General features: G+C 41.3%; 1 protein-coding gene and 1 non-coding gene across 15 annotated transcripts in view, besides 10 other annotated features; one reads left to right on the top strand and one right to left on the bottom strand.

Moving 5' to 3' along the window:
• Positions 1-18,002, bottom strand: part of KLF7 (KLF transcription factor 7) — a 99,715-nt gene extending 81,713 nt beyond the window's left edge. For 4 of the 14 annotated variants that reach the window (XR_923051.3, NM_001438026.1, NM_003709.4 and 1 more), the window contains exon 1: positions 9,618-10,099. Coding sequence is in view for 12 of the 14 variants with exons in the window: in NM_001438026.1 (NP_001424955.1) it covers positions 9,618-9,719 (102 nt within the window). In the remaining 2 variants the exon portion in view is untranslated. Of the gene's footprint in view, positions 1-9,617; positions 10,100-10,907; positions 11,008-11,144; positions 11,398-17,952 lie in introns of those variants that run through there. The other 10 variants (NR_073108.2, XM_017005161.2, XM_047446150.1 and 7 more) reach the window with 7 other exon arrangements.
• Positions 1,121-1,300: a silencer, noted in NCBI's record as "silent region_12271". NCBI's record gives its function as "represses an Ori minimal core promoter by ATAC-STARR-seq in GM12878 lymphoblastoid cells {active_cell/tissue: GM12878}" and the evidence as "EXISTENCE:reporter gene assay evidence [ECO:0000049][PMID:35858748]".
• Positions 7,692-8,400: an enhancer, noted in NCBI's record as "H3K27ac hESC enhancer chr2:208028265-208028973 (GRCh37/hg19 assembly coordinates)". NCBI's record gives its function as "activates a minimal SCP1, AML or CMV promoter by ChIP-STARR-seq in naive H9 embryonic stem cells {active_cell/tissue: H9 hESC(naive)}" and the evidence as "EXISTENCE:reporter gene assay evidence [ECO:0000049][PMID:30033119]".
• Positions 8,401-9,109: an enhancer, noted in NCBI's record as "H3K27ac hESC enhancer chr2:208028974-208029682 (GRCh37/hg19 assembly coordinates)". NCBI's record gives its function as "activates a minimal SCP1, AML or CMV promoter by ChIP-STARR-seq in naive H9 embryonic stem cells {active_cell/tissue: H9 hESC(naive)}" and the evidence as "EXISTENCE:reporter gene assay evidence [ECO:0000049][PMID:30033119]".
• Positions 9,711-9,810: an enhancer, noted in NCBI's record as "active region_17030". NCBI's record gives its function as "activates an Ori minimal core promoter by ATAC-STARR-seq in GM12878 lymphoblastoid cells {active_cell/tissue: GM12878}" and the evidence as "EXISTENCE:reporter gene assay evidence [ECO:0000049][PMID:35858748]".
• Positions 9,818-10,526: an enhancer, noted in NCBI's record as "NANOG-H3K27ac-H3K4me1 hESC enhancer chr2:208030391-208031099 (GRCh37/hg19 assembly coordinates)". NCBI's record gives its function as "activates a minimal SCP1, AML or CMV promoter by ChIP-STARR-seq in primed H9 embryonic stem cells {active_cell/tissue: H9 hESC(primed)}" and the evidence as "EXISTENCE:reporter gene assay evidence [ECO:0000049][PMID:30033119]".
• Positions 9,818-11,234: a biological region, named in NCBI's record as "NANOG-H3K27ac-H3K4me1 hESC enhancers GRCh37_chr2:208030391-208031099 and GRCh37_chr2:208031100-208031807".
• Positions 10,301-10,940: a silencer, noted in NCBI's record as "silent region_12272". NCBI's record gives its function as "represses an Ori minimal core promoter by ATAC-STARR-seq in GM12878 lymphoblastoid cells {active_cell/tissue: GM12878}" and the evidence as "EXISTENCE:reporter gene assay evidence [ECO:0000049][PMID:35858748]".
• Positions 10,527-11,234: an enhancer, noted in NCBI's record as "NANOG-H3K27ac-H3K4me1 hESC enhancer chr2:208031100-208031807 (GRCh37/hg19 assembly coordinates)". NCBI's record gives its function as "activates a minimal SCP1, AML or CMV promoter by ChIP-STARR-seq in naive H9 embryonic stem cells {active_cell/tissue: H9 hESC(naive)}" and the evidence as "EXISTENCE:reporter gene assay evidence [ECO:0000049][PMID:30033119]".
• Positions 10,551-10,649, top strand: MIR7845 (microRNA 7845). The gene has a single exon (NR_106999.1). It is a non-coding gene; the product is annotated as a microRNA 7845 (primary transcript).
• Positions 11,235-11,943: an enhancer, noted in NCBI's record as "NANOG-H3K27ac-H3K4me1 hESC enhancer chr2:208031808-208032516 (GRCh37/hg19 assembly coordinates)". NCBI's record gives its function as "activates a minimal SCP1, AML or CMV promoter by ChIP-STARR-seq in naive H9 embryonic stem cells {active_cell/tissue: H9 hESC(naive)}" and the evidence as "EXISTENCE:reporter gene assay evidence [ECO:0000049][PMID:30033119]".
• Positions 11,561-11,610: a silencer, noted in NCBI's record as "silent region_12273". NCBI's record gives its function as "represses an Ori minimal core promoter by ATAC-STARR-seq in GM12878 lymphoblastoid cells {active_cell/tissue: GM12878}" and the evidence as "EXISTENCE:reporter gene assay evidence [ECO:0000049][PMID:35858748]".

Below are 23,209 nucleotides of genomic sequence, written 5' to 3' on the forward strand. Positions count from 1 at the left end.
GGTGTTGGGGTGGAAAGAATCTATTTCCACTCCTTTGTATGCTGAGCAAATTTGCCGCCTCTCCAAAAATAAGCACCAATGTTATGACCACTCCATTGAATTCCTGCTAACTCGGCTCTGGAAGGTGAATGTGAGAACGGCGTCAAGAGCAGGTGGGCACTCCCTTGCAGGGCAATTGCTCCACGGCTAATTGCCGTTTTCACAGCTGGGTTGAGCTTTCCAAAAGGCATCCTTCAACCCTGAGCTCTGAGCTCCTCTCCTGATGTTCTCTCTTGCCAACCATACCCCCATCAAAGACAGTTTACAGATGAAAGGATGTAGCTACAGGACATACAATTTTGCAAACATCACAGTTTGAAAAAGAGGCGTTTCTAAGGCTTCTTTGTGAAGATCACCACACGCCCACAGTCATTACCACAGGAGCTAAGCCTTCTATGGGTGTGAAGGCAGCCTCCTTGCCGGAATGTCCTCAGCAGCAATTCTTCCACAGTTTATTTTTGCTCCTCTTACTAGAAAGATGGATCCTCTGAAATTCTTTATAAACAGAGTCTACTTCCAAACACTGTGGTTGGTCAGTAAGAAAATGGAGAGCTGCTACCTAATGCCTCTCCAGCATCATCCAACAGATGTACATGCATGCATCCAGCCCTTTCAAACCATGGAGCAGGCTGAGGTGAGTGGAAAATCATGGCCAAGGGCCTACTGAGAATGAATTGTTTGAAACCCAGCAAGGCTGGAGTTTAAAGCCCAACACCACAAAGTTTCCAAATATGGAATTTGACCAGGTTAAGCAAATTCCTGATGGGTCACAGGAAATGTGAGCCAAACAGACTGCCTTAGACACTTTAGGGTGAGGGAAAGCAAAGCAAGAAGGATGAAACAACACTTGGGCAGCTGCTATTAACAAAAGTGCCAGATGAAGCACATCCACCAGCATGATCCTGTTTTACTATAAACCTCTGGTCCGTGTGGATTCCAAATTACACAAGTCATTAAATATTTCAATATAAGAAGCAGGTAACCCCAACTCTGACATATCATTAAACCCTCTATACACCAATGGCTCAATGCCTTGGCTGCATACTGGAATTGCCTGAAAGCTTTACAAACACTGATGCCCGGGTCCTTCCCAAAGAGATACTGATTTTATTGGTCTGGGGTGCAGCCACGATTGAGAACCACTGAAAAAGGCATAGTCAAATCTTAAGTCATAGTCATAACATGCTCCTCAAATAACTATCGAGTGCCCACAGTGTGCAAAGCTTTCTAAGAAGCAGGTGATACATTAAAAGTTGACTACCAAAACTATACGCAAGGCATCAACTCCTTAAAGCATAAACTTAACAAGAAAAATGACACAACAGAAAAGTAAAAAAAAAAAAAAAAAAAAAAGAAAAGCTTTATTATAACTCAAAACTGTAAAGCATCACGGGGAAGTAAAAAGCTCTGCACAAGAGTATGGAAATCATAGCAGTTACAGTTGGCTGGTAGCAAGGGAGGGAGTTTGGCACCCATTTGAAAGTTAAGGAATGGGTGGAACTTGGACAAAGAAAATCAGGAAGGGGAGAGGGAGGAAGAGGAAAAAGGCTAAAGGAAACAACAAAAATAAAGACAGAAGCAGGAAAAGCATAGTCACTTAATTTGGATGGCATTTACTACATGTGAAAAGGGGGGAACTTGCAAATATTGTGTAGACCCAGTCTTGGAACACCCTGACTCTTGGAAGTTTGGCCTCATGCTATGTATAAGAGGGAGCCATGAACAGTTTGAAAGCAGGCCACCTGGGGTGATGGTGGCAAAAAGGCAAGTCCAGGGAGGTGACAGGGATTGTGGCAAGGCAATGGCCAAGGGTGCCATCCATGACAGGCTGATGCTAAAGCACCTCAGAAGCCAAGTCAGTGGGATTTTTCAACTAATTTTAGACTTCCGCTAATTAGATCTTTTCACCTAATTTTTTATTAGATTCAAGAAAAAGAAAGGAGTTACAATGACTAGAATGTCAAACCTAGATCATGAGACGAATAATCACATTATTAAAAGAAATAGGGAAGCCAGGAAAAAGGAAGCAGTCCGTGGAAGAAGTTGATGAGTTAGGGGTTTAGGACATATTCAGCTGAAGTGATGGTAGAACAACCCCAAAGCCCATCTTGCTTGTTGCTTATTTCTGGTTAGAAAAAAATGAGGGCCTGAAACCCAGGGAAATATCTGGAGGTGGAGATGTAGAGTATAGCTGTGAGGAGATGAAGAAGCCCTGAACTGGGAAGGAGATTTTAACCTCTAAGATGTTAGAGGTGAAAGAGATCTGTGAGACACATTCTGGGAGAGAACTTTCACCATCATAACTACCAATTCAAGGAGGTAGGGAAGGGCAAAAAGTAACTGGGGAAAAACTGGGGCAAAAAAGTCAAGTGAGCCTTCCATTTTCCTTTCCTCATTAGGGACAATGGTAAAAATTAGGCCTACTTCATCCATCAGACCTCAAAAGACTTTTTGAAAAACCTCTCAGAGGTTGAGTTTCTTCACTACTGCTTATTACAACCCTCTCAAGAATTTAAAAACATTTAAAAAGATTTTCATCAACTGGTACATGGGTTGCTGGTAAAGTTTCGGGCACTCTCTTTGTTGGTGAGGTGCCAGAAACAAAGCAATTTCACGTTTGTTGCTTTCTACTTCCATCTAGTTCTATATTCCATCCAACCCCCTACCACATATGCCCCACTGCACACCCTTCATACTCCCACTCCATTTGTTATTATTTAAATGACAATAATTTTTATAAGACTCGAGTTATAATCTGGGGCTATTTTTTCGGTACAGTGTATATTTTCCAATTTAGCACACATTAAAAGTGGAAAAAGAATCAAATTACACAAGTAAGCCTTCTCCAAAATATTCGATAACTTGTTCTAGAACCTAGCCAATCCCAAAATTCCATGAACCAGTAGTCTTAAAAGTAAAAAGGGAATTTTCTTGCCTCCTTTGAAGGCAAAAAAGAAAGAGAAAAGAATCAGAAGTGAGTCAAGGTATATTCAGGTGACAGAAAGCAAGTAAACTGGTCTGGGCATCTGAGAGTCCTGGGCCCTGAAACCATCAGTGTTAATAAGCTGTGTGACCTTGGAGAGTGCAATGCCTCATCTGGCTTTAACAATCACTTAGTTCAACCCAGTATTTTAGAGTTGAGGAAACCAAGACCCTTTCAAGATTTGAAATTCTGAGATTCTATGTTCCTCGCTTTGGTACAAGGCTGAGAACCTGACTTTCAAAATGACCCTCAGGAAATGTCAATACACCCACATTCAAAAATAGATATCGCATATGGCTCTACGTTATTTTAATTACCTCTAATCATTTCCGAATGGCACAGACATGGGCACTGTTTCCTGGCCATTATGGATATGTGTATTCACATTGTATACTCATCTGCCCTAAAAGTATCCAGCCCACAACATGACATTGGCTGAAAGCTTTTTCACAACAGAACTTAGTAAATCTCAAGTATGTTTTATAAACAAGGTTGGAACTATGTGGGTAATACAGATAGGCACAGGTCAGTGTTCCAACACAGAACTGAATGTTTCTTTCTTTCTTTCCTTCTTTCTGGCACTCATGCTCTATTCTGTTTAACTTAATTTTGAACATGCTTTCTCTGCCTTACTACAGTCAAGCTCCTAGAGGGCAGATTCTATATCCAATTCAATTTTGCATTGCCCAAATACAGTATTATGCACATAAAAAGGGCTTAAGGAATGAAGTATTTACTGTGGAATATTTTCTATACTTGAATATAAACAACAAAAATCCCACAAAGTGTGACTAGGTCCATCTACCAGCTCAATGAAGAATGGTATCCCCCTGAAATCAGAAGTCACTCGCACCTCATTTGGGCTGATACTAGACTCAGATCTCAAGGCTACTGCAAACGCTCAGCTGTAACATTTATATATCAAGCATGTGGTACTGCTCGAATGGAGGGGGGATGGACATGAGTCGTTTAAACGGGACCAAGTTCTTAGGGTCACACCAAATACCCCGAGAAGGAAAACTAAAGGGATGTAGGGTGGTAGAAATAATTCTGCCAATTAGCAGGAACTAATCTGGGCAAGGTGGGGCACAGCAAAATCACAAACAATCTTAGGTAAAAGCATGTCCCAGTAATGGCAACATTTTGTTTATTTGGGGAATTTTAGATAGAATAAGGATATGTATATTCTACAATGAGTATACAGAGAGGAGTGTTTTTTAACTTGTCAATGTTACATGTAACATGAATAATTAGACACTATAATTTGTTTCACCAACTTTAACACCATTAGTAGTTGAGTTTTCTAATCACTGTACTTGGTAAGATTCGGCATTTTGGGGTTAAAACATTCCGCCCCCCTACCCCCAATCGTTTATGCTAAGCAAGCAGTCAGTTGATTTGGGAGAACAAAGGGACTACTGGACAGAGGAAATCTCTGCCCCTCACCCTCTGGCACCATTCAAGTTAAGTTGGGGAGCTGTCCTAAACTTTCAGCAAATCGCAGTTCTAACACATAGGCTAACTGATATATCGAGTGAACTGGAATCACAGAGCGATTTTCTGCATTTGCCAGTCGTGGGGTCCAGCAAAGATAATTAAAAGCCCATTGCACAATACTATAAAATGAAAAGATAAGGGGTATCCACCGACCCCGTCTGGAATCAGACCAGCTATCCTATCAACTTGAGCCAGATGGGACTGGCCAGAGGAAATTGTATTCTTCTTTCCTCAACAGGCACAGAGAGCAATTAAAGAAGATTGCAATGTCTTCTTGTACTCCAAAAGTTAAAACGCAAGAATTCTCTGAAGAGAGTACAATGTGAAGATTCATAAAAGAATGGCTATTAAAGGCCCCATTAGGACCCTCTCTGAACTATCTCCATTTAAGTAGAGAGGCAAATTAGCCCCCACTGGCATTTATGTTTAGAATGGGCTGGCAGAAAGAAGCAGCCCACATTTGGATGCTTAAGGTCTCTGACACACCCATACATAAATCATTTCAGGGCAAGGCTGTCATCTTGCATCTTCTGCTCTGCCTTTTAAATGGATGGGACCCCAACATCCCATTCTCCTCAGGGTAAGGAGTGGGGGTGGGAAGTTCATGGAGAACAAAGAATAGTGACCTCCTTTTCCCCCTACTAAGGACAGATGTAGTAAAAAATAACTGCATTATAATGTTTGCCCACTTTAAAATACCAAACTGCAAACAGGTAGACTGAATGATAATGTTTGAAGCCCCTAAATCTACACAAAGATGTGTCTGTTAAAGGAACATGGAAATGAATCTATTAAAGGCTAAGTGTGTGATTGATTGCAGTCACATGTGCTTTCATTTGTAGAGTTACATCTATTTAGTGATTGCATCTTCATAAAGATAAATTCTGGGTAACGGGCAGTTATATTTTTATTTCATCTACCAAGTTGCTGTTTCAAATAAAGAAACAGATTTACAGTAACTGAAGAACACACAAATCACATACCAAAAAAAAACAGTTATTTTATCCTTTCAGTGTGGCTAGCAAGGCTCCTTTGTGTCTACAAATTTCCCTGGGTGGTGCTGTTGCCAAGAAATTCTAATTCATGACAAGGCTATCTGCGAATTGGGGACTGAGGCAAACCTACGGATGGACAGACCCTACAGTTTGCTTTGTTTTCCTGGCTGATATAGCACCTGGCAGCCCAGGCCTGCAGAAGGAAGTGCAAAGGCAAGATCTTCACATAAAAGGAGAAGCAATGTGGCTCACAGACCAAATCCCATCCCTGGTACCATGAGGCTGTTCTTGGAATGCAACCATTTCTGTACGTTTTCCCCTAGAGATTCCTTATACCAAAGGCCCTCATAAAAAGTGTTTCAGGGTGCCTGAAACCAAGATGAAATTGCAGTGTTATGGGGACACTTTAGTCCTTACAGTAGCCAAGTATGCCATTAGTTTAAAACAATAGGGGAATGGGGGAGGAGAGAAGAATGTTCTATGATTTATTTATTTGTTTCCAGTAGCAGTGGAAAATTTTCTCTGAGCAAAGAGAGGCCTGAAACTGACCCCATCTGCCAATTATGAATCAGCATTAACAACAAACATAATTCCATAAGACTTTTCAAGCAAACATGCGATGCTCCTCAATGACACGACGCAAAGCTAAGTCCAAATAAGACTTAGATCATCACTGCTTGACCTGCACTCATGAAATAGCAGACTAGAGATAAAACATATAAAAGTTCTAAAAGTCTTTGTATATTCAAGAAGAAAATAAAAGCATTGTATCAAATTCTTTTTATTTTCCAAGTCAGCAGTGTGTCTAAAAAAAAAGATTATGATTTCTATTGGCAAAAAAAGTCATGAATGAGTTTCCCTTTACTCATAATCAAGTGGTACCCCATAAGAAACTCTGGTTTCTGTCCTACCCTTGACCTTTTCCTACTTTTGCTCAGACAGCTCTTGGAAATTTTCCTACAAGTTTTCAAAGCGCTTAAGGCTGGTAGTCTTAAGAATTGCGCGTCAGCTGAATTCTATAAAATAATAGACCACATAAGCACAGTGTAATTTACAGTTATATGACAGGCAGAAAGATGATGTTACTTGGGCCGAGTGCTTAAGTATGCAGTCAGAGCCCAGGAATGGAGAGCTGTTAATGTGTGATGTCCATTTGGATTTCAGAATTATACCAGCAACGATTATTTTCAGACTTGGAGCTATGTGGCTAAGGCATCATTGCCAGAAAATCCAATGTCAAAACGAGGATCTCCGTGACGAGAGGGAGCCCTGCCACAGTCAGTGACTTTGTCACAGGCTCACTGACTATTAAGCAGGACAATTATCCCATATCCTAAGTTTAAAATAAAATCCCCAAATTGTTTATCTTCAATTTTCAAACGTAAAAATGTTCTTGAGTTTATCATCGAAGCCACTCTTTCTCTAGAAACCAAGTCAGATTATCAGAGTCTCCACATTTTGCTCATCTCCATGAGCCCAGGTACATTGTTCACTTTAAGAAGAACATCTAATAATTACTCCTCATTTGACCTCTAAAATCTGATTACCCCAGAGCATAAAGAAACTTCTTCCTGTCTGGGGTTCTTTGCAGAAACCCTGTTGAGCTGTTTTGAGCAAAAGAGTCTCAAAATTTCATTATCCGATAGTTGATTTGGAACTAACAGTTGCATATCACCATCACCACCCCTTATACTCAGAAGCAGCAAGACGGTTTTGGGAGGGGGAAGAAGGAAGGGCTAGAGGTTAAAGGTTTTGTCATCAGTGTAAACCTATGGTCCTAGTCGCCTTTATATAGAGCAGTTGTGATTACGGAGTCCAGAACATAAAGCTCACTGGAGTGATATATTGTTTATTAGTGCTTCCCCACAAGCTATGCATCAGCATTGGCTATAAGCATGACGCTGAATAAGTTGGCTAAGGGTTTTAAGGTGAGAGTGGCTGGCAGTTGGAGAGGGTTAAGGCAAAAAATGAGGGGGTTCCGAGGGGTGAAAAATCCTTTGCCTGTAGAAACTAAACTAGAGCTTCCCTGAATGGGGAGGAGGCAGAGGAGCAGGGGGAGGAGGGGAGAAGGAAGAGCAGAGATGGCTTCTTAGGAAACAATAGATCTAATACATCCTCTAGTTGTCAAACCGATGATGTTTCTTTGCAGATCTAGAGTTTGTCCTGGATGGTCTAGCCAGATCTAGAAAAGCAGGTTTCCTGTGAAGAGACCTTCCTCCAAATCTGGCTTTACTACTCTGAAAACTTGAACCAAAACAAAGTTGCATGATTCATCAGTAGGGAACGTTCTAACAAATAAAGCCAACTTTCTTCCTTCTAACACTGCTTAACAGTTAGTCACAAACAAGGGCTGCCTTGGGCAGGCTGACTAAATCAACAGATTCCCTTCTCTAACCTGTCTAGACAGTTGTTAATATGCAACCGATTCCATACCAGTGGGCTGACAGTGTGAAATGAAGGCTATTTCAGAAGATTTTGGTTTAATTAGCATTGGAAATAAAAGGAAGAAAAAGATCCAGTGAGACCCTTCATGAGACACACTCTCGTTAAGGATAAGGAAAAGGATGCATTGAAGAAAGACTTTATTCTAAAAATATGTGAACTGTGTATGTGTTTACAGAGAGACAGAGTCAAGCATCTGCTAGCGTCCTTGGACAAGAATGCATGTGTGGACACAGAGACACCAGACGCCAATACCTGGAGGAAAACTCACAGCCTCTGACCAGAAGTGAACTAGCAACAATGGTACAGTTAAAGGATCCGCCTTGCCACTCGGCTCCTTATACCAAAAGCCAAACCTCTTTTGCTAAAGCAGAGACTGTTACATCTCAGCCTCAAGCTGGCAAATCCTGCTTTGGATCCCGGCAGAGGAAATTCAGCCGTTCATTAGCCTTAACAAGCTGCTGTCACTAAGCGAAGAAATTACACGAGCAGCCACACACCGAGCCTCTCACAGCCCTCCCCCCAAGGGCAAGCGGGTTTCTCCAGGACGGACTGTACAAGTTCACACTTCCTATGTGCAAATCCGGACTGTCTTCTTGGACTTTCCATGGTGCACACTGTACAATTTTTAAATACCCGTGTCCCCCCGCCCCCACCCACCATCTTTCCTGCAGAATGTCCCCTCAGCAGCTCCTAATCGCTGCTGAAAAAAACCACTGTTTCCGCAGCAGAGCCAGCACTTTCCACTGACCAGCACTTTCTTTATTCCACTTCACAAAGCCCAGTGAACTTGTCACCAGCCCCACTTCATCCTCCCTGGGACGGCTAGCCAACTTGGCATCGGTGCCCTTCAGCATCCTGGGAGTTTCTTAACTAGTCCTCTAAGACAAAGTCAAAGGCATGGAAGCACACATCAGCCTTTGTCCGAGGTTGTGCTGCCTAACTAGAGAAGGACCCTAAACAAAAAAGAGAAACAAGGACACGCATAGAGGGTGTTCTCTTTCTGGAGGGATCACACTGGGAAAACCTACAATTCATTGTCAGCCTCAGCTACATCTTCCCGTCCTCCTTGAGTATCTTTTGTCAGTGGGCTCTTCTCTCTTTTGCCTACCTTCTAATCTCAAAATCAAGCTCCTATTCTTTATTGACACTCGCTAATTACTGAAAAACACTCCGCTTTGCTCCTGCCCACCCTCCCCCGCCCCCCATCCGATGGTCATAAGCACCAGTTGAAACAGATGAACCTGATTTCAGGTATCAAGTGGGTAGAGCTCATGCATGCGAGAACGTGGTCCCTGTCAGCAATCGCTCCTAACACCCCAAACCACCTTCCCACCCGGCTCCTCCGAACCCCAGAAGTTCGGCAGGTCTCTGATAGGGGACAGCAAACCCGACAACGTGTGCGCAGGGATGTGTGTTGGCGACTGAAACGCAGGCAGCTCGCACCGGCTGCTCAGCTCGGCACTCTACGAGGTTAGGGGTGGGTGGAGAGGTAAGCGCAGATGACTGTTTCAGAAAACATTTTCAACAACAGACAGCCAAAAAGGAAGAAAAAAAAGTCAAACAAACAAACAAAAATTTCAACCCAGAGCCCACACCAACGCAGCCCCTGCGTCTCCGCCGCCACCACACGATTTACACAAGTAATTTAAATCATTCACCTGCTGCCAGGTCTCCTCCAGGGATGGTAAAGCTGAGAAGTAGCCGGTGTCGTGGACAAGTTGTAGCTCCTGGAATATACTATAACTAGCCAACACGTCCATGCTGCTGCTGCCGGGCAAAACGGGAGGCGAAACCCTCCCCCGAACACAGTTGGGGCTGTTTGTTTGTCAGTCTGTCTGGCTCACCCCCCAAGAAGGCAGACATCCAGTGGCCCTTTTGTTTTGTTTTGTTTCAGTCAACTAAAAAGGAAAAAAAAAAATCAATGCAGGAGAGGGAGAGAGGAGGTGAGAGAGGAGCGAGTGAGTGGGGTGGATGGAGAGAGGCATCCAGCGTGTACAGTGCAGACGACTGCCAGGAAAAGGGGACTTCTCCACGGGAGTAACAATTCCCTTCCAGGGCTCTAATCACTCCAGCTCGTGGATCAGGAAGGGGGATGCAAACTCACTGACACGAAGCTGCCATCTATTTCTGCAGCGCTGTTCGCTCCTAATGCAATCTTTGCTCTTTATTTTGGGAGGTTGCATTTTTTTCTCTCGCGATCGCTTCTCTTCCCCCCCCTTCCCTTCCCTCCCCACCCCCCACCCCATCCTTGCTAGTTTGTAGTCTTCCCCCTCCCTTTTCTCCTCCTCCTGCTCTTCCCCCTCCCCAAACTCCCTCCCTCCGTTCGGTTCTCCGCGCAGCCGTGGGATCTCGAGGAGGGCGTCCATTAGGCCGCGTGTGACCATGTAAGGTAAACAGGGGGCTCATGAAGTCACTGAGGACCAATGGGGAGCCCGGAGCAGAGCCTGGGGCGGGGCTTGGCCCTGGCGGCGGGCGCGGATTGGCACGCTGCGGATCTCCCTGCTGCCTTACAAGGCGGTGCGAGGCGAGCTATTTTTAGAGGGCTATATAAGGGGGCTGAGGCGGCCGCCCGGCGGCCGGGCAGCGCGAGCGCAAGGGACAGGGAGGGTCGTGGCGACACTCGCGCCAGCTCCCGGGACGGCTGGGCTCGGGCTGGTCGCCGACCTCCGACCCTCCACTAGATGCCTGGCAGAGCCCGGCGCGTCCGGAGCCCGCGCCCCTCAGAGGGAAGGGGTCGCGCGTCGCCGCGGCGGCCCTGAGGCTGACGGTCGGGAGGTGAAAGGCCGGAGTGCGGGGTCAGGACGCCTCCTGGAGGGGGCGCGGCGCAGGGGGCCGCGGGGAAGCCGCCGAGGGCGCGGAGCGGGAAGGAAGGACAGTGGCCACCCCGCCTCCGCCTGGGCACGGGGCAGGGACCCGCGCGAGGCGGTGCCGGGGAGGTCCTCACGTACTCAAAAACAAGCAGAAAAGGCATCCAGGGCCCCTTCCCGAACTCCCCACGGGCTGCCAGGGTGCAGAGAAGAAGCGCCTGAGGAGGAAGTGCCACACAATGGGAGAGAACAAAGGGGAGCGGAGCGAGACCGCGGCCTGCGCCCGCCCCCCGCTTGCGCACAGTCCCCGCCCCGCCCCGCGGGCGCCGCCGCCGCCGCCCTCCCTCCCGCGCCTCCTTCTGACCCCGAGCGAGAGACCTGGTCGGGAGTCCGGCGGCTAGAGTTGATTGCAAGGGGCCTGTTGCTCGACTGTGCGTTAAAGAGGCTAGAGGGAGCCTAGGTAGACGTGGGGCGCAAGCTGGAGCCGGCAGCTTGCGAGGGGGCCTTTACGTGATGAGGCTCACCATGGGGTCTCCAGCGAGGTGTCTGCAGAGCTTCGATGGTGAGAGGAGGAACTCGATTTCTCGTTTTCTGGAGTTGGGATGTAGACATAGAGAGATCTGTTACATCTGAGATGAAAACCCTGCACAATTCACGTTAGGGTTGGCCAATTGTTTGCTTGACCTTAAATGGTTAGTGTGGTTTAAGCTTCCCCAAAATGCGCTGTGAGCTGAGCTTCCACTTTTGGAATGATTGCAGAATTCGGTGCTTAAGAGATGAGAAACTTCGTTCTACCAGTAATGGAAGAAACGCTTCACCTTAATCACCCTCCTTGTCTTTCCCCTCCCTTTGACTATGTAGGACTCGATAACACAACATTTGAAAGATTCTACTCTATGAAATAAGCACAGATTGAAATTCAGTATTTGCCAAGGAATATTAAACATGAATTACTGGGATTGAGGAAAGCCTGATTTATTTACTTGTTAGTGTCTGGAATTCTGTTGGCCAGATTCATAGCATTCATTGTATGAGTATAATTGGAACATTTACTCTAATGTAGATGCAGATGCATCTGCAATTAGATGTGCAAGGACGCTGCCAGCTAACTAGCTGCACGACTTTGAGCGAATTACTGGGTCAGAACTTGTATCTACCCATCTCAGAAACAGAAATAGTGGGATCCGCGTTGTCTAGTTGTTATGAAGAGTCAAAATATCTTTGGTAACTCACCTAGCATAGTATCTGACACTATTAGGTGAATACTAAATATTAGCTATCATTGTCTCCCCACTTGAGCTATGTAAACTAATAGGACCTTTAGGAGAATATACTATTAATAGAATCTTGGAGATAGAGGAAAGGTAGAAACCCCTTGCTAGTTTGTTACAAGGTCTCCCCTTCTCCATGCTCTCCCCTGACCCCCATGCTATTTCAACTGGGGGGATGGGCAGGAACCATTGAGAAACACTAGGGCAAAAAACATGTTCATGAATAATAGGGGAAGGAAAGGAACTTGGGTATAGAAAACTAGAGGCAAAAGGTGAGGCAAGACCAACCATATAATTTGGTACTTGAGACTCAAGTGAACTTATTTTGTGTGTGTTACATTATAACAATTTTTGAATAAAATAGGACATATCGGTTAACGTGAGTTTGAAGATTTTACAAATAATAGTTCCCATTTATTAAGCACTTCGAATGTGCCGTATGCGCATAAACACTTTATATGCAATGTCTCATTTAATCTTAAGGACAGCCCCAAAGTATCCCCAACTTTATGGATGAAGATACCCACGCTTGGAAATACTAAGTAAGTTGGTCAAGGTCTCACAACCTGGAAGTGGTCAAGCAGGGGTTCAAATCCAAGAGCATCTGACTCCCCACACTGTTCTGTACTGAGCTTTGTATGGTGAAAAATGGGGTTCCTCAGCTTTAAGTCAGTGTGTGTTTACAAAAATTGCTTGGGTGGGGCCGGAGGAGGAGGCTTCCATTGAGACTTTTCCTATGTAACTATCAGCCGTCTGACTTGCAAAAGGACTCAACCAAAATTTTACAAAGCAAATACTGCAAACCTCATTATGGTCTTTGCTCCAAGCTTTGTAGAATATTTTAGATTCATTTTAAGAGATTTATGCAGCAAGGCATTCTGAAAGGCACATTTTCAATATTAGTTATATTTAGCTACTTTTTATACCCTAGAGACCCAAGATTCACATTGCAAAACACATGCAAGGTATCCAGATGTACAAAGTAATCAACAAATTAAGATCACAAGAGAACTTTGGCAGTTCAGCAAACCAAAATAAACTGCACTGTTGTAACTACCACTTACTGGTTGATTACCTTCTTTGTACCTAGCATTTTACACATACCTCTGATCTCCACAATCCTGTGAGGGAACTCTTAGTGCTCCATTTTTATAGATGAAGATACTGAAGTTTAGAGAGTGCATGTAATTTGCTCATTACCATGTGTCCAGTAAGTGGGTAAAAGCAGATTAGAATACAGGTCTGCCTCCAAATCGACTCCAAAATCTGTCTTCTCCACAAGTATTGCCTTGGGAGGTGTTCATTTTACTTCTAATAATGTCAATCTTTGGAAGTAATCCTATAGAAAACACCCTAGAGTAAATAATAAATTATCCCCCCACCCGGGGGGAGCTTAGAAATAAATGAGGATATTTTAAGAATAAAATAGTAAAAATTTAATATGTGAATACACACATTAAAGGCATCAGGCTGTTTCCACCAGTAAAGTTTTGCTTCATTAGTGTAGGAAGTCTTTATTATCCCAGTGTGATTAGTACTCCTCAAAGTAAATCTACTTAAAGCTGGGACCAAATTTCAGACCAATCAGTGAAGAAAGCTTTGCTTAAGACTTTATTTGAAAATAAAACTAAATGTTATTAAAATACATTCATTCTGTCCTATATGGGCATACCTCATTTTATTGTACATAGCTTTATTATGCCTTGCAGATACTGCTTTTTTATACAAATCGAAGGTTTGTGGCAACCCTGCTTGGAACAAGTCTTATCAGCACAATTTTCCCAACAACATGTACCCACTTTATGTCTCTGTGTAACATTTTGGTAATCCTCACAATAGTTCAAACTTTTTTTGTTATTATATCTGATATGGTGATCTGTGATCAGTTATTTCGGTTTTACCATTGTAATTGTTTTAAGGCACCATGAACTGTGCCCAAATAAGACATAGAACTTAACTAGTGTGTGTGTGCGTGCTAATTACTCCACCGACTGGCTCTTCCCCTCCTCTCCTCAGGCCTCCCTATTCGTTAAGACACAACAATAATGAAATTAGGCCAGTTAATATCCCCACTATGGCCTCTAAGTGTGCAAGTGAAAGGAAGAGTGACATATCTCTTTAAATCAAAATCTAGACATAAGCTTAGTGAAGAAGGTATATCAAACACCGAGATAGACCAAAAGCTAGGCCTTTACACCAAACAGTTGGCCACTCTGTGAATGGAAAGAAAAAGTTATTGAAGGAAATTAAAAATGCTACTCCAATAAACACACAGATGATAAGAAAGCAAAACAGCTTTATTGCTGATATGGAGAACGTTTTAGTGGTGTGGATGGAAGATCAAACCAGCAACAACATTCTTTTAAGCTAAAACCTAATCCAGAGCAAAACCCTGACTCTCTTCAATATTACGAAGGATGAGAGAGGTGAGGAAGTTGCAGAAGAAAAGTTGGAAGATAGCAGAGGTCGATTTATGAGGTTTAAGGGAAAAAGTCATCTCCATGACATTAAAGTACAAGGGAAGGAGCAAGTAGTAATGTAGAAGATGCAGCAAATTATCCAAAAGACTGAGCTAAAATCATTGATAAGGGTAGATGATGCAGCCTTCCATTGAAAGAAGATGCTCTCTAGGACTTTCATAGCTAGAGGAAGAAAGCAATGTCTGGCTTCAAAACTTCAAAGGACAGGTTGATTCTCTTGTTAGGATCTAATGCACCTGGTTCCTTTAACTTGAAGGCAATGCTCATTTACCATTTTGAAAGTTGTAGGGCCCTTAAGAATTATACTACATCTACTCTACCTGTGTTCTATAAATAGAAGAACAAAGCACATCTGTTTATATGATGGTTTACTAATATTTTAAGCTCACTGTTGAGACCTACTCTTTAGGAAAAAAGATTCCTTTCAAAATGTTACTGCTCATTGACAATGCACCTGGCCATCCAAGAGTTCTAATGGAGATATATAAGGAGTTGTACATGTTGTTGTCATGCCTAGCTAACACAACATCCATTATGCAGCCTGTGGATCAAGGAATAATTTCAGCTTTTAAATCTTATTATTAAGGAAATACATTTCATAAGACTATAATTGCCATAGATAGTGATTTTCTGATGGATCTGGGCAAAGTAAATTAACAACCTTCTGAAAAGAATTCACCATACTAGATGCTATTGAGAACATTTGTGATTCATTTGTGGAAGAGGTCAGAATATCAACATTAACAGGAGTTTAGAAGAAGTTGATCCCAACCCTTCTGGGTGACTTTGAGGGGTTCAAGACTTCAGTGGAGAAAGTAACTGCAGATCGGGTGAGAATAGCAAAAGAACTAGAAGTAGAGCCCAAAGAGGTGACAAAAATGCTGCAATCTCATGATAAAAATTACATGAATGAGGAGTTGCTTCTTACGGATTAGCAAAGAAAGTTCTTTTCTGAGATGGAATCTACTTCTGGTGAAGATGCTATGAACATTGTTGAAATAACAAACTACTTAGAATATTATTATACATAAAATGAGTTGATAAGGTAATCACAGGGTTTGAGAGGATTGACTCTAATTTTGAAAGAAGCTGTACTTTTGGTAACATGCTATCAAACAGCATTGCATGCTACAGAGAAACCTGTCATGAAAGGAAGCATCAGTGTGACCAAATTTATTGTTGTCTTTTTCTAAGAAATTGCCACAGCCCCTCCAGCCTTCAGCAACCCACTCTGATCAGTCAGCAGCCATTGACATTGAGGAAAGACCTTCTACCAGGAAAAAGATTATGACTTGCTGAAGGCTCAGATGATAGTTACCAATTTTTAGTAGCAAAATATTTTAAAATTAAGGTATGTACATTGTTTTTTCTTAGACACAATGCTATTGCACACTTACTATAGAGTATAGGGTAAATATAACTCATATGCACTGGGAAACAAAAAACTTGCATGACCCACTTTATTGTGATATTTGCTTTATTGCAGTGGGCTGTAACCAAAGTCAGCAATATTTTCATAGTATGCCTGTATTTAACAATATTTACGTTGTTAGTATGACTATGTGCTAATTGTAAAATGAATAAATCAAGAAAGTGATTGTTGGTTTAATTTTTCTACAAAAGGTAAAGCACCGGTTGGGGCCCAGAACACAATACCCCAATATGTATGGCACCCTGACATACTGAGTATTTTGAGCCAAAGGAGATTGGGAGAGCCACTAAAGCAGGAATTTCTCTCTGACCTTCCCCTACTCCTATTTTCTCTCCTGAAACAGATCATAGAAACTGAAATTTCTCTCCCTCAAAGCAAGCCATAAAACCTAAGAAGGTCACTCTCTGACCTCCTCCCTTTTGCCCTGAAGACCTTCGTGTGACAGGTGTTCTGCCCCTCCCTAGAGGCCAAAGAGAATCTGAACAAACAGGCCTTGTTAAGTTTCCAGTTTATTAACTTTAGGCCATACCTCCTTTTTATCCAATCCCACTTCAACACGACTGTTCATCCTTTATCCCACCTAAGCACTAAAATACAGTTTTCCCTGGGTCTTTGTGTCTTCATTTTTGAAGGCTCCCATGTCATGTAAAACTTTGATTAAATAGATTTGTGATACTTATCTCTTGTTAAACTGTCTTTTGTTATAGGAGTGTCAGCCATAAACCTTGTGATAAGGGAGGAAAAGTTATTACTTTTTCTCCCCAACTCAACTTACAATATGCCTTATTTCATATTTGACTTTTACAGGATAATCAAAAAGAGGGTCATTTTGTAAAAATGTTAGAGGGCTTCATCAGTTTCCCCAAGGGTCTCTATTAGTTTTTTGTATTCAAAGTATTCTCTTCTGAATCAGCAATATAGTCACCCTCCCTGTTGATTTTTACCTTCACTTGTTAGTTTAACTCTACAAATCTCTATTTGCCAGTGGCCTTATCAACCTTACTTTCATTGACATCATAAAATCTAACACTTTTGGCACGATTTGCAATTTTACTTTGCAGTATAATTGAATATATTGCATTGTATTGTAAATGTTTGCCACTATGAGAGCAGGAGAGAAGATTGTTAAGAAGGGATGTTTGAGTGGGGGACTAATTTATAAGTGGTCCTATCATTAATAAATATTTTTGTGTACTGACTTTTTCTTCCCTTCACCATCTTACTACAGTGGAGGAAAGTGTGAACTTGGGTTGTGTCGTAGAAAATGTGAGTGTCAGAGAGGCGGAGGTTGGTAAACAAGACTGCCTGAGAAACATGGTTTGAATTTGGAAGAACATGAGAACATGTATGTGGCCACTTGTGAGAGCTGTTTCATAATTGAGAAAAATGAAATGGTGGTCTCATCAGGCCTCTAGTGTCCTGGATAAAAATATTTCTTGAAAATACGTCTCTCTGTCTTCATTCTGTGCTCACTTTCTGCCCATAATTTGACTTCCCGCTTGTTCTGCCTACAGGAAAAAATGAACTGGTTACAACCACAGGAGCCTGGTCACCGCGGCAGTACTATTGCTATTGTCAATGCAAACATCCAAAGACATTTTAGTTAATATGTGTGTTTTTTGTGAGTTTAATTAGCATGGGTCTGACTTCCTAGGTTTGTTTAATTTTAAGACACTAACATATTGAGATTTCTAGACATGATATACTTTAAAAAATGGTCTCGGTGAATTAACCAAGAACTCTTATTATCTTCTTCAGAAGACATCCCAATCTTGCCACTAGCTTTTAGAATTCTGTGGGCATATTACAGTTTAACAAAACATTTATTTTTAAATAAAATGCCAAAGCCAACCCTGAATGTTACATCTTACATTGCAAGGGGTCATACAAAATGGATAAAAGAGGGACCTGGTAGATTGTGAGTTATGGGCGTGTGACCCAGGAGACAATTTGCTGCTTCCTTCTAACTCAGGTGATCTATTGCTTAACAAAAATTCACCTACCATCATGATAAAGGTAAGGAATTCACAAGTCCAGCAAAAGTTCACTGTCAAGAATGCTCTGTCCAACCTTAGAATGTTGGACTTTGAATGTCATTATGACCTGTGTTACAGGATTCCTGTGGAGATAAATATTAGTAGTCACTTTTCTAGCTTGAGCTGTCAGCACCTAAAGTGTCAGTATCCTCTATGAAGAACAAAATCATCATTTGAATTCAATCAGTCATTCAACATATATTATGTAAACCAGTCATTTAACATATATTATGCAAAGGACTTAGGTTGAAAATAAAATGGTAAACACAGACATATTACCAATATCAATTTCTGAGAGAGTAGTACTGTGTCTCAGAAGTTAGAAAAGGCATTTGAAGTGTCTAGTCCAACCTTCATCAGATCTACTGCTTCCCTTTGCAACACTGCTTTTCAGGAGATGCCCAGTTCCTCCAATGGTAGGGAGATCCCAGCAAGCACTAGGATAAGCTGCTATGATTGAACCTGATTGGATGATTTTCCCCATCTAAGAATAGCATCACAAGCTATTCAGGGGTCTCTGGACAAAGATTTTGGAAAAGAAGCCAGTAGGAAATGAGAAAAAAATTTAAAAAATAGTAAAAAGAATTAATTTTGCTGTGCAATGACGCAAATGCCCAGATAGTTGTGAAGCCAGTGAGAAATCAAGTTGCTAATGTTTTAGAGATTCTTAGCTTTTGTGGCATGTGAGGCACAATTTGTAAGAGTGTTGTGTTTCAACCTAAGCATTTTTTGTTGTGACATGTTGAATACAACAGTGTAATTATTAATATGTTAAATATCACTCTCAATGTTTTATCAGAATATTATCATTTTTCTTTTAAAAGTGCCATTTCCAAAGGGCTTGGTATGCAGTTAATGGGATTTAACAGCAGAATGCATCTTGGATTTTGTAATGGAAATCAATGGGAGAATAAGATTGATTTGATGGAAAGTCTCTGTACTGCAAACTTTGCTGACAATGACCATTCCTTTAAGTGAGAGATACCTATTCCACAAGTGCTCAATGATGAGTTTTTATGTATATGATAGATCTAGATAGTTTGGAAAATTAATAATGTCAGAAGCAGGTTTTGTTTTGTTTTGCTTTTTTTCTGACTAGTCTCTCATTTGAATCTGACTAAATTTCCTTTACCAGAAGGATGCTTACTTGAGTGCTTTGAAAACTCAGCTGAGTCATAGTTTTTAATGCTGGTCCCTGCTCTTCTCAGGAGTAAGTTATCACATGCTTTAAAATCCTCCATTTGGGCCGGCCGCGGTGGCTCACGCCTGTAGTCCCAGCACTTTGGGAGGCCGAGGCAGGCAGATCACGAGATCAGGAGATCGAGACCATCCTGGCTGACACGGTGAAACCCCGTCTCTACTAAAAAATGCAAAAAAAGTAGCCGGGCGTGGTGGCGGGCGCCTGTAGTCCCAGCTACTCCGGAGGCTGAGGCAGGAGAATGGCATGAACCCGGGAGGCGGAGCTTGCAGTGAGCCGAGATCGCACCAGTGTACTCCAGCCTGGGCGACAGAGCGAGACTCCGCCTCAAAAAAAAAAAAAAAAAAAAAAAAAAAAAAATTCCTCCATTTGTGCCATCTAAATGGGAGAAATAATGCTTCAATGCCCCTCTCAGAATGCTTCACAATTCCCCTAACTCTCTTCTCCTCCCGCTTTGCAATGCTCAAAGATTGTTTGAAGCAAATGTGGTCATGCTTTATACTGTGTCATTTCATTTTGGCTTCTCCCAAACTGGGCATCGTGGAAGGTATGCCCTTAGCTGCTCTGCCTCCCTTTGGTCATTATTTGGGAAGCCAGTGCAATCTCATTTGATGAAGACCAAAAGGTAGCATAACTCAGAGAGGCTTACTCCTCTTACCCAATTTGTCCAAATGGGAAATTCCACCCAGCTCTCGTTGTGCCACATATAAGCCCCAATCCTTTCCTTTTCTGTGATATCAATTTTCAATCTTTGAGGAATATTCATGTTAAAGCAATCCTCTTTTGTTTTGTCCTTTCTACATGTTCAAAACTATTATTTTAAAAAACAATTTATTAAAGAACATACAAAATATCTTTAATAAAATTTTAAAATAATATTGCTTTCTATAGTATTGTTTGGACACCATATTGTTCGTGCTGGATTCTGTCAGCTTGGCCTAAACAGGAGCAGATGATATTAGCTCAAATGATATCAAATGTGCTTGAAAGAATATAGAAGTTCTAACGCACGTAGAAAAATTTTCATAATTAAAATTACCAAAATCTACCCAAAGAATATGAGATGTTCTCAAAGAACCCACTTTACAGAGGGATTTAGAGTAATATATTTTTCAGAATTTAAGGCACTTCTCAATCTATTAAGAAACAGTTACTGTTACATTTATCACATTTTAAGGGAAACTATAATCTTGAATATTGTAACATTTCAAAAGGTGATATAATAACAGGCCTTTTTGTGAACTAGTAACAGCATTAGCCAAAGGAAAGCTAAAGAGTAAGGACTGGTTAAATATAACTTTCTTCCACACTGCCCTGGGGTAACTGTTGTCCTAAGTGACCTTTAAAGATAATTTAGAATGGAAACAGATCTACTTTAGTAGCTTTACTAAGTATTTGACAACCTAGAATTTCCCCTTTTTGATTTGTCTTTACCATAGCAACCTTCTGATCTGTGATTTCCTCTTTTGAATGAACTGACTTATATGAGATTTCCCTTTGTAAACACATAGTATCTATTTTTATTTATTTACATACTTGTTTCTTATTTCTTTTATTCCAGAGAGGAAGTATGAACAAATACAATAAAATACAGGAACTACAATACAAAAAAAAAGTATTAAATAAAAGACAGAAGTCAAATACCAGAGGATAAGGGAGAAAGAAATATAGTAGATATACATTGTTATTCTAGCTCCTTGTAACTTTGCTTAGTGTGAATCAATGCCCCTAGAGCACAGAATCTCACCTATTTATGGTTATTTACTGGAAAAAATTTTCAACATTGCTATATGTTTAAAAAGTTGATGATAAATTGTTAAAAAAATTAACTTTGAAGTCATAGAGAAAAGAGGTGGAGGAGGCAGCAGATAAAGGGGAGAAGGAGGAAAGGGAAAAGAAGTGTGAAAGTAAGACCAGTTTTGAGTGAGGGTGTGTGTGTGTGTGTGTGTGTGTCTGTGTGTCCACACAAATGAACCTTCTTTTCTCATTTTGATGTTCCTTCTGCAGGTATTGAAGGAAGCTAGTTTAGAATAATTTATTGAATGCTCACTAAGTGCTGAGTGCTGTACTAAATGCTCTTACATGATTCTCTCATTTAATCCTCCAAACAACATCAGGAAATAGATATTATTGGCATCATCCTTATTTTATTAAGCGGTTAAGTAAATTGCTCAAAATTACAGAGCACAGAAGGAGTACAGCCTGGATTTGAACCCAATGAGCCTGGATTTCAAATTTTAGAGTCCTAACTTTTAAGCTGAAACTAACAATAAGGGCAAAAGTAACAAGGTCCTCAGAACATGTCTGTGTTTTTTACTCCTTTTTTGCATCCCCTAAAACCTGGCACCATGCTTGACACAGAATACTTAATACACACTTATTACATGATCATATGTCACAGAAAGAAACAATAGTACTCATTTGGTTACATTTTTCTCTATGTTCTCCATCCTTCCTGCATGATTTCTATCCATTTGTCCATCCATCCATCAATAAATACAATGCAAGGATCCATGATGACTTATGAAGAATGGAACGGGTTCAAAGATTAGGGAGATATCAGCAAGAACCATATATATTTAGAACATGTAGATTGCAACCAAAATTCAAATAAAATTTTTTAATGTTTTTTGCTCCTTAATGTAGACTTAGCTTTAAACATTTGCTATGTCAGTGTTTTCTAAAACTTGCAGTTATTCTGTAACACATCCCCAGTCTCTACATGTATCTGAATTTTACCCACACTTCCACAGATTTAACTAATTTCTCCTAATGTTTGCAGGACAAAACTAAGGAAATGTCTAGACCCTCAGGGTAAGGGAAGCCCCTAGAGACCGGCATGTGAATCACAAACTCAAATGCTTATGGACCAGACAGGTAACCTCAATGAGTAAGGTGGGCCAGGTGAGGATGTTGGATAATTGGAGGACGCACATTCCATTTAAAGGTGATGGCTACTGCTCAACTCCAGCCATCTGTGACAATACAGATCCACCATGTGCTGCTAGATCATCTTATCTTTCAAAGAAAGCAAAAAAAAAGAAAAAGAATTTTTTTTGTGTGAAATCTCCTGATTTTTAAATTTTGACAAGGAATCCAGATATACAAGAAAAAAAAAATATTTCACATAGAACAAAAACTACACAATAGCAGACCAAATTTGGCCAATGGGCAACCAACATGTGACTTCTGTGGGAGTACCTACCCCTTCCTCAAAGCAGTAGGGATGCCTACTTGTTGGTCTGCTTGGCAACATCCTTCACCACGAATTATCCCACCAGCTATGGCTTAAGCATTTAGGTGAGCAGGGGCCCCCATGCAACCCACCTGAAGGAGGCCATTCCATTTCCAGGTGGCTCATAGTCATCTAAGACTGAGCTGTAGTCCAGCAGACCTCTACTTTATTCATATTGGGGATGTTCTGTCTTCTGTAGCATCCCCAAAATACATCTCTTTTCTTTTTCATATACCAGCCCTTAAAGAACGTGAAGGCAATTATCAATTTTCAGGGGCTGCTGTGAGGAATACTAGAAGGAAATCTATTATTTCAAGTGTGGTCCAACCAGTGCAGAGACAGAGTTGGGTTCTATTTTCCTTTGTTTCCAATACTGTGTTTCTATCAAGGCAACCTAAATCTAATTTTGTTTTGTAAGTGCATCTCATGGTTAACTTATATTAAATTTATAATAAACTAAAAACCTATAGGCCTCCCTCATTCTTGCTATTTTACCCCAAGACAGGACCTTTATGTGTACTTATTAAACTTCATCTTTTTATATTTGGCTCATTTCCTTTCTGTCAAAATCTTTTTTAGATTCTTGATTTTATGGTCTAAAACATTTGCTATCCTTCTCGATTCCATATCACTTATAAATTGGATAGGCCTGATAATAACAGCTAACATATATAAAGTTTGCTATGTGCCAGGCACTGTTCTGAATGCTTTACATATATTATTTCATGCTCACAACTGTCTCATTTAGCTACTAATCATATACCTATTATACACATATAAGAAAACTGTGG

The sequence above is a fragment of the Homo sapiens genome, chromosome 2 (genome assembly GCF_000001405.40).
Source record: "Homo sapiens chromosome 2, GRCh38.p14 Primary Assembly".
Lineage (NCBI taxonomy): Eukaryota > Metazoa > Chordata > Mammalia > Primates > Hominidae > Homo > Homo sapiens.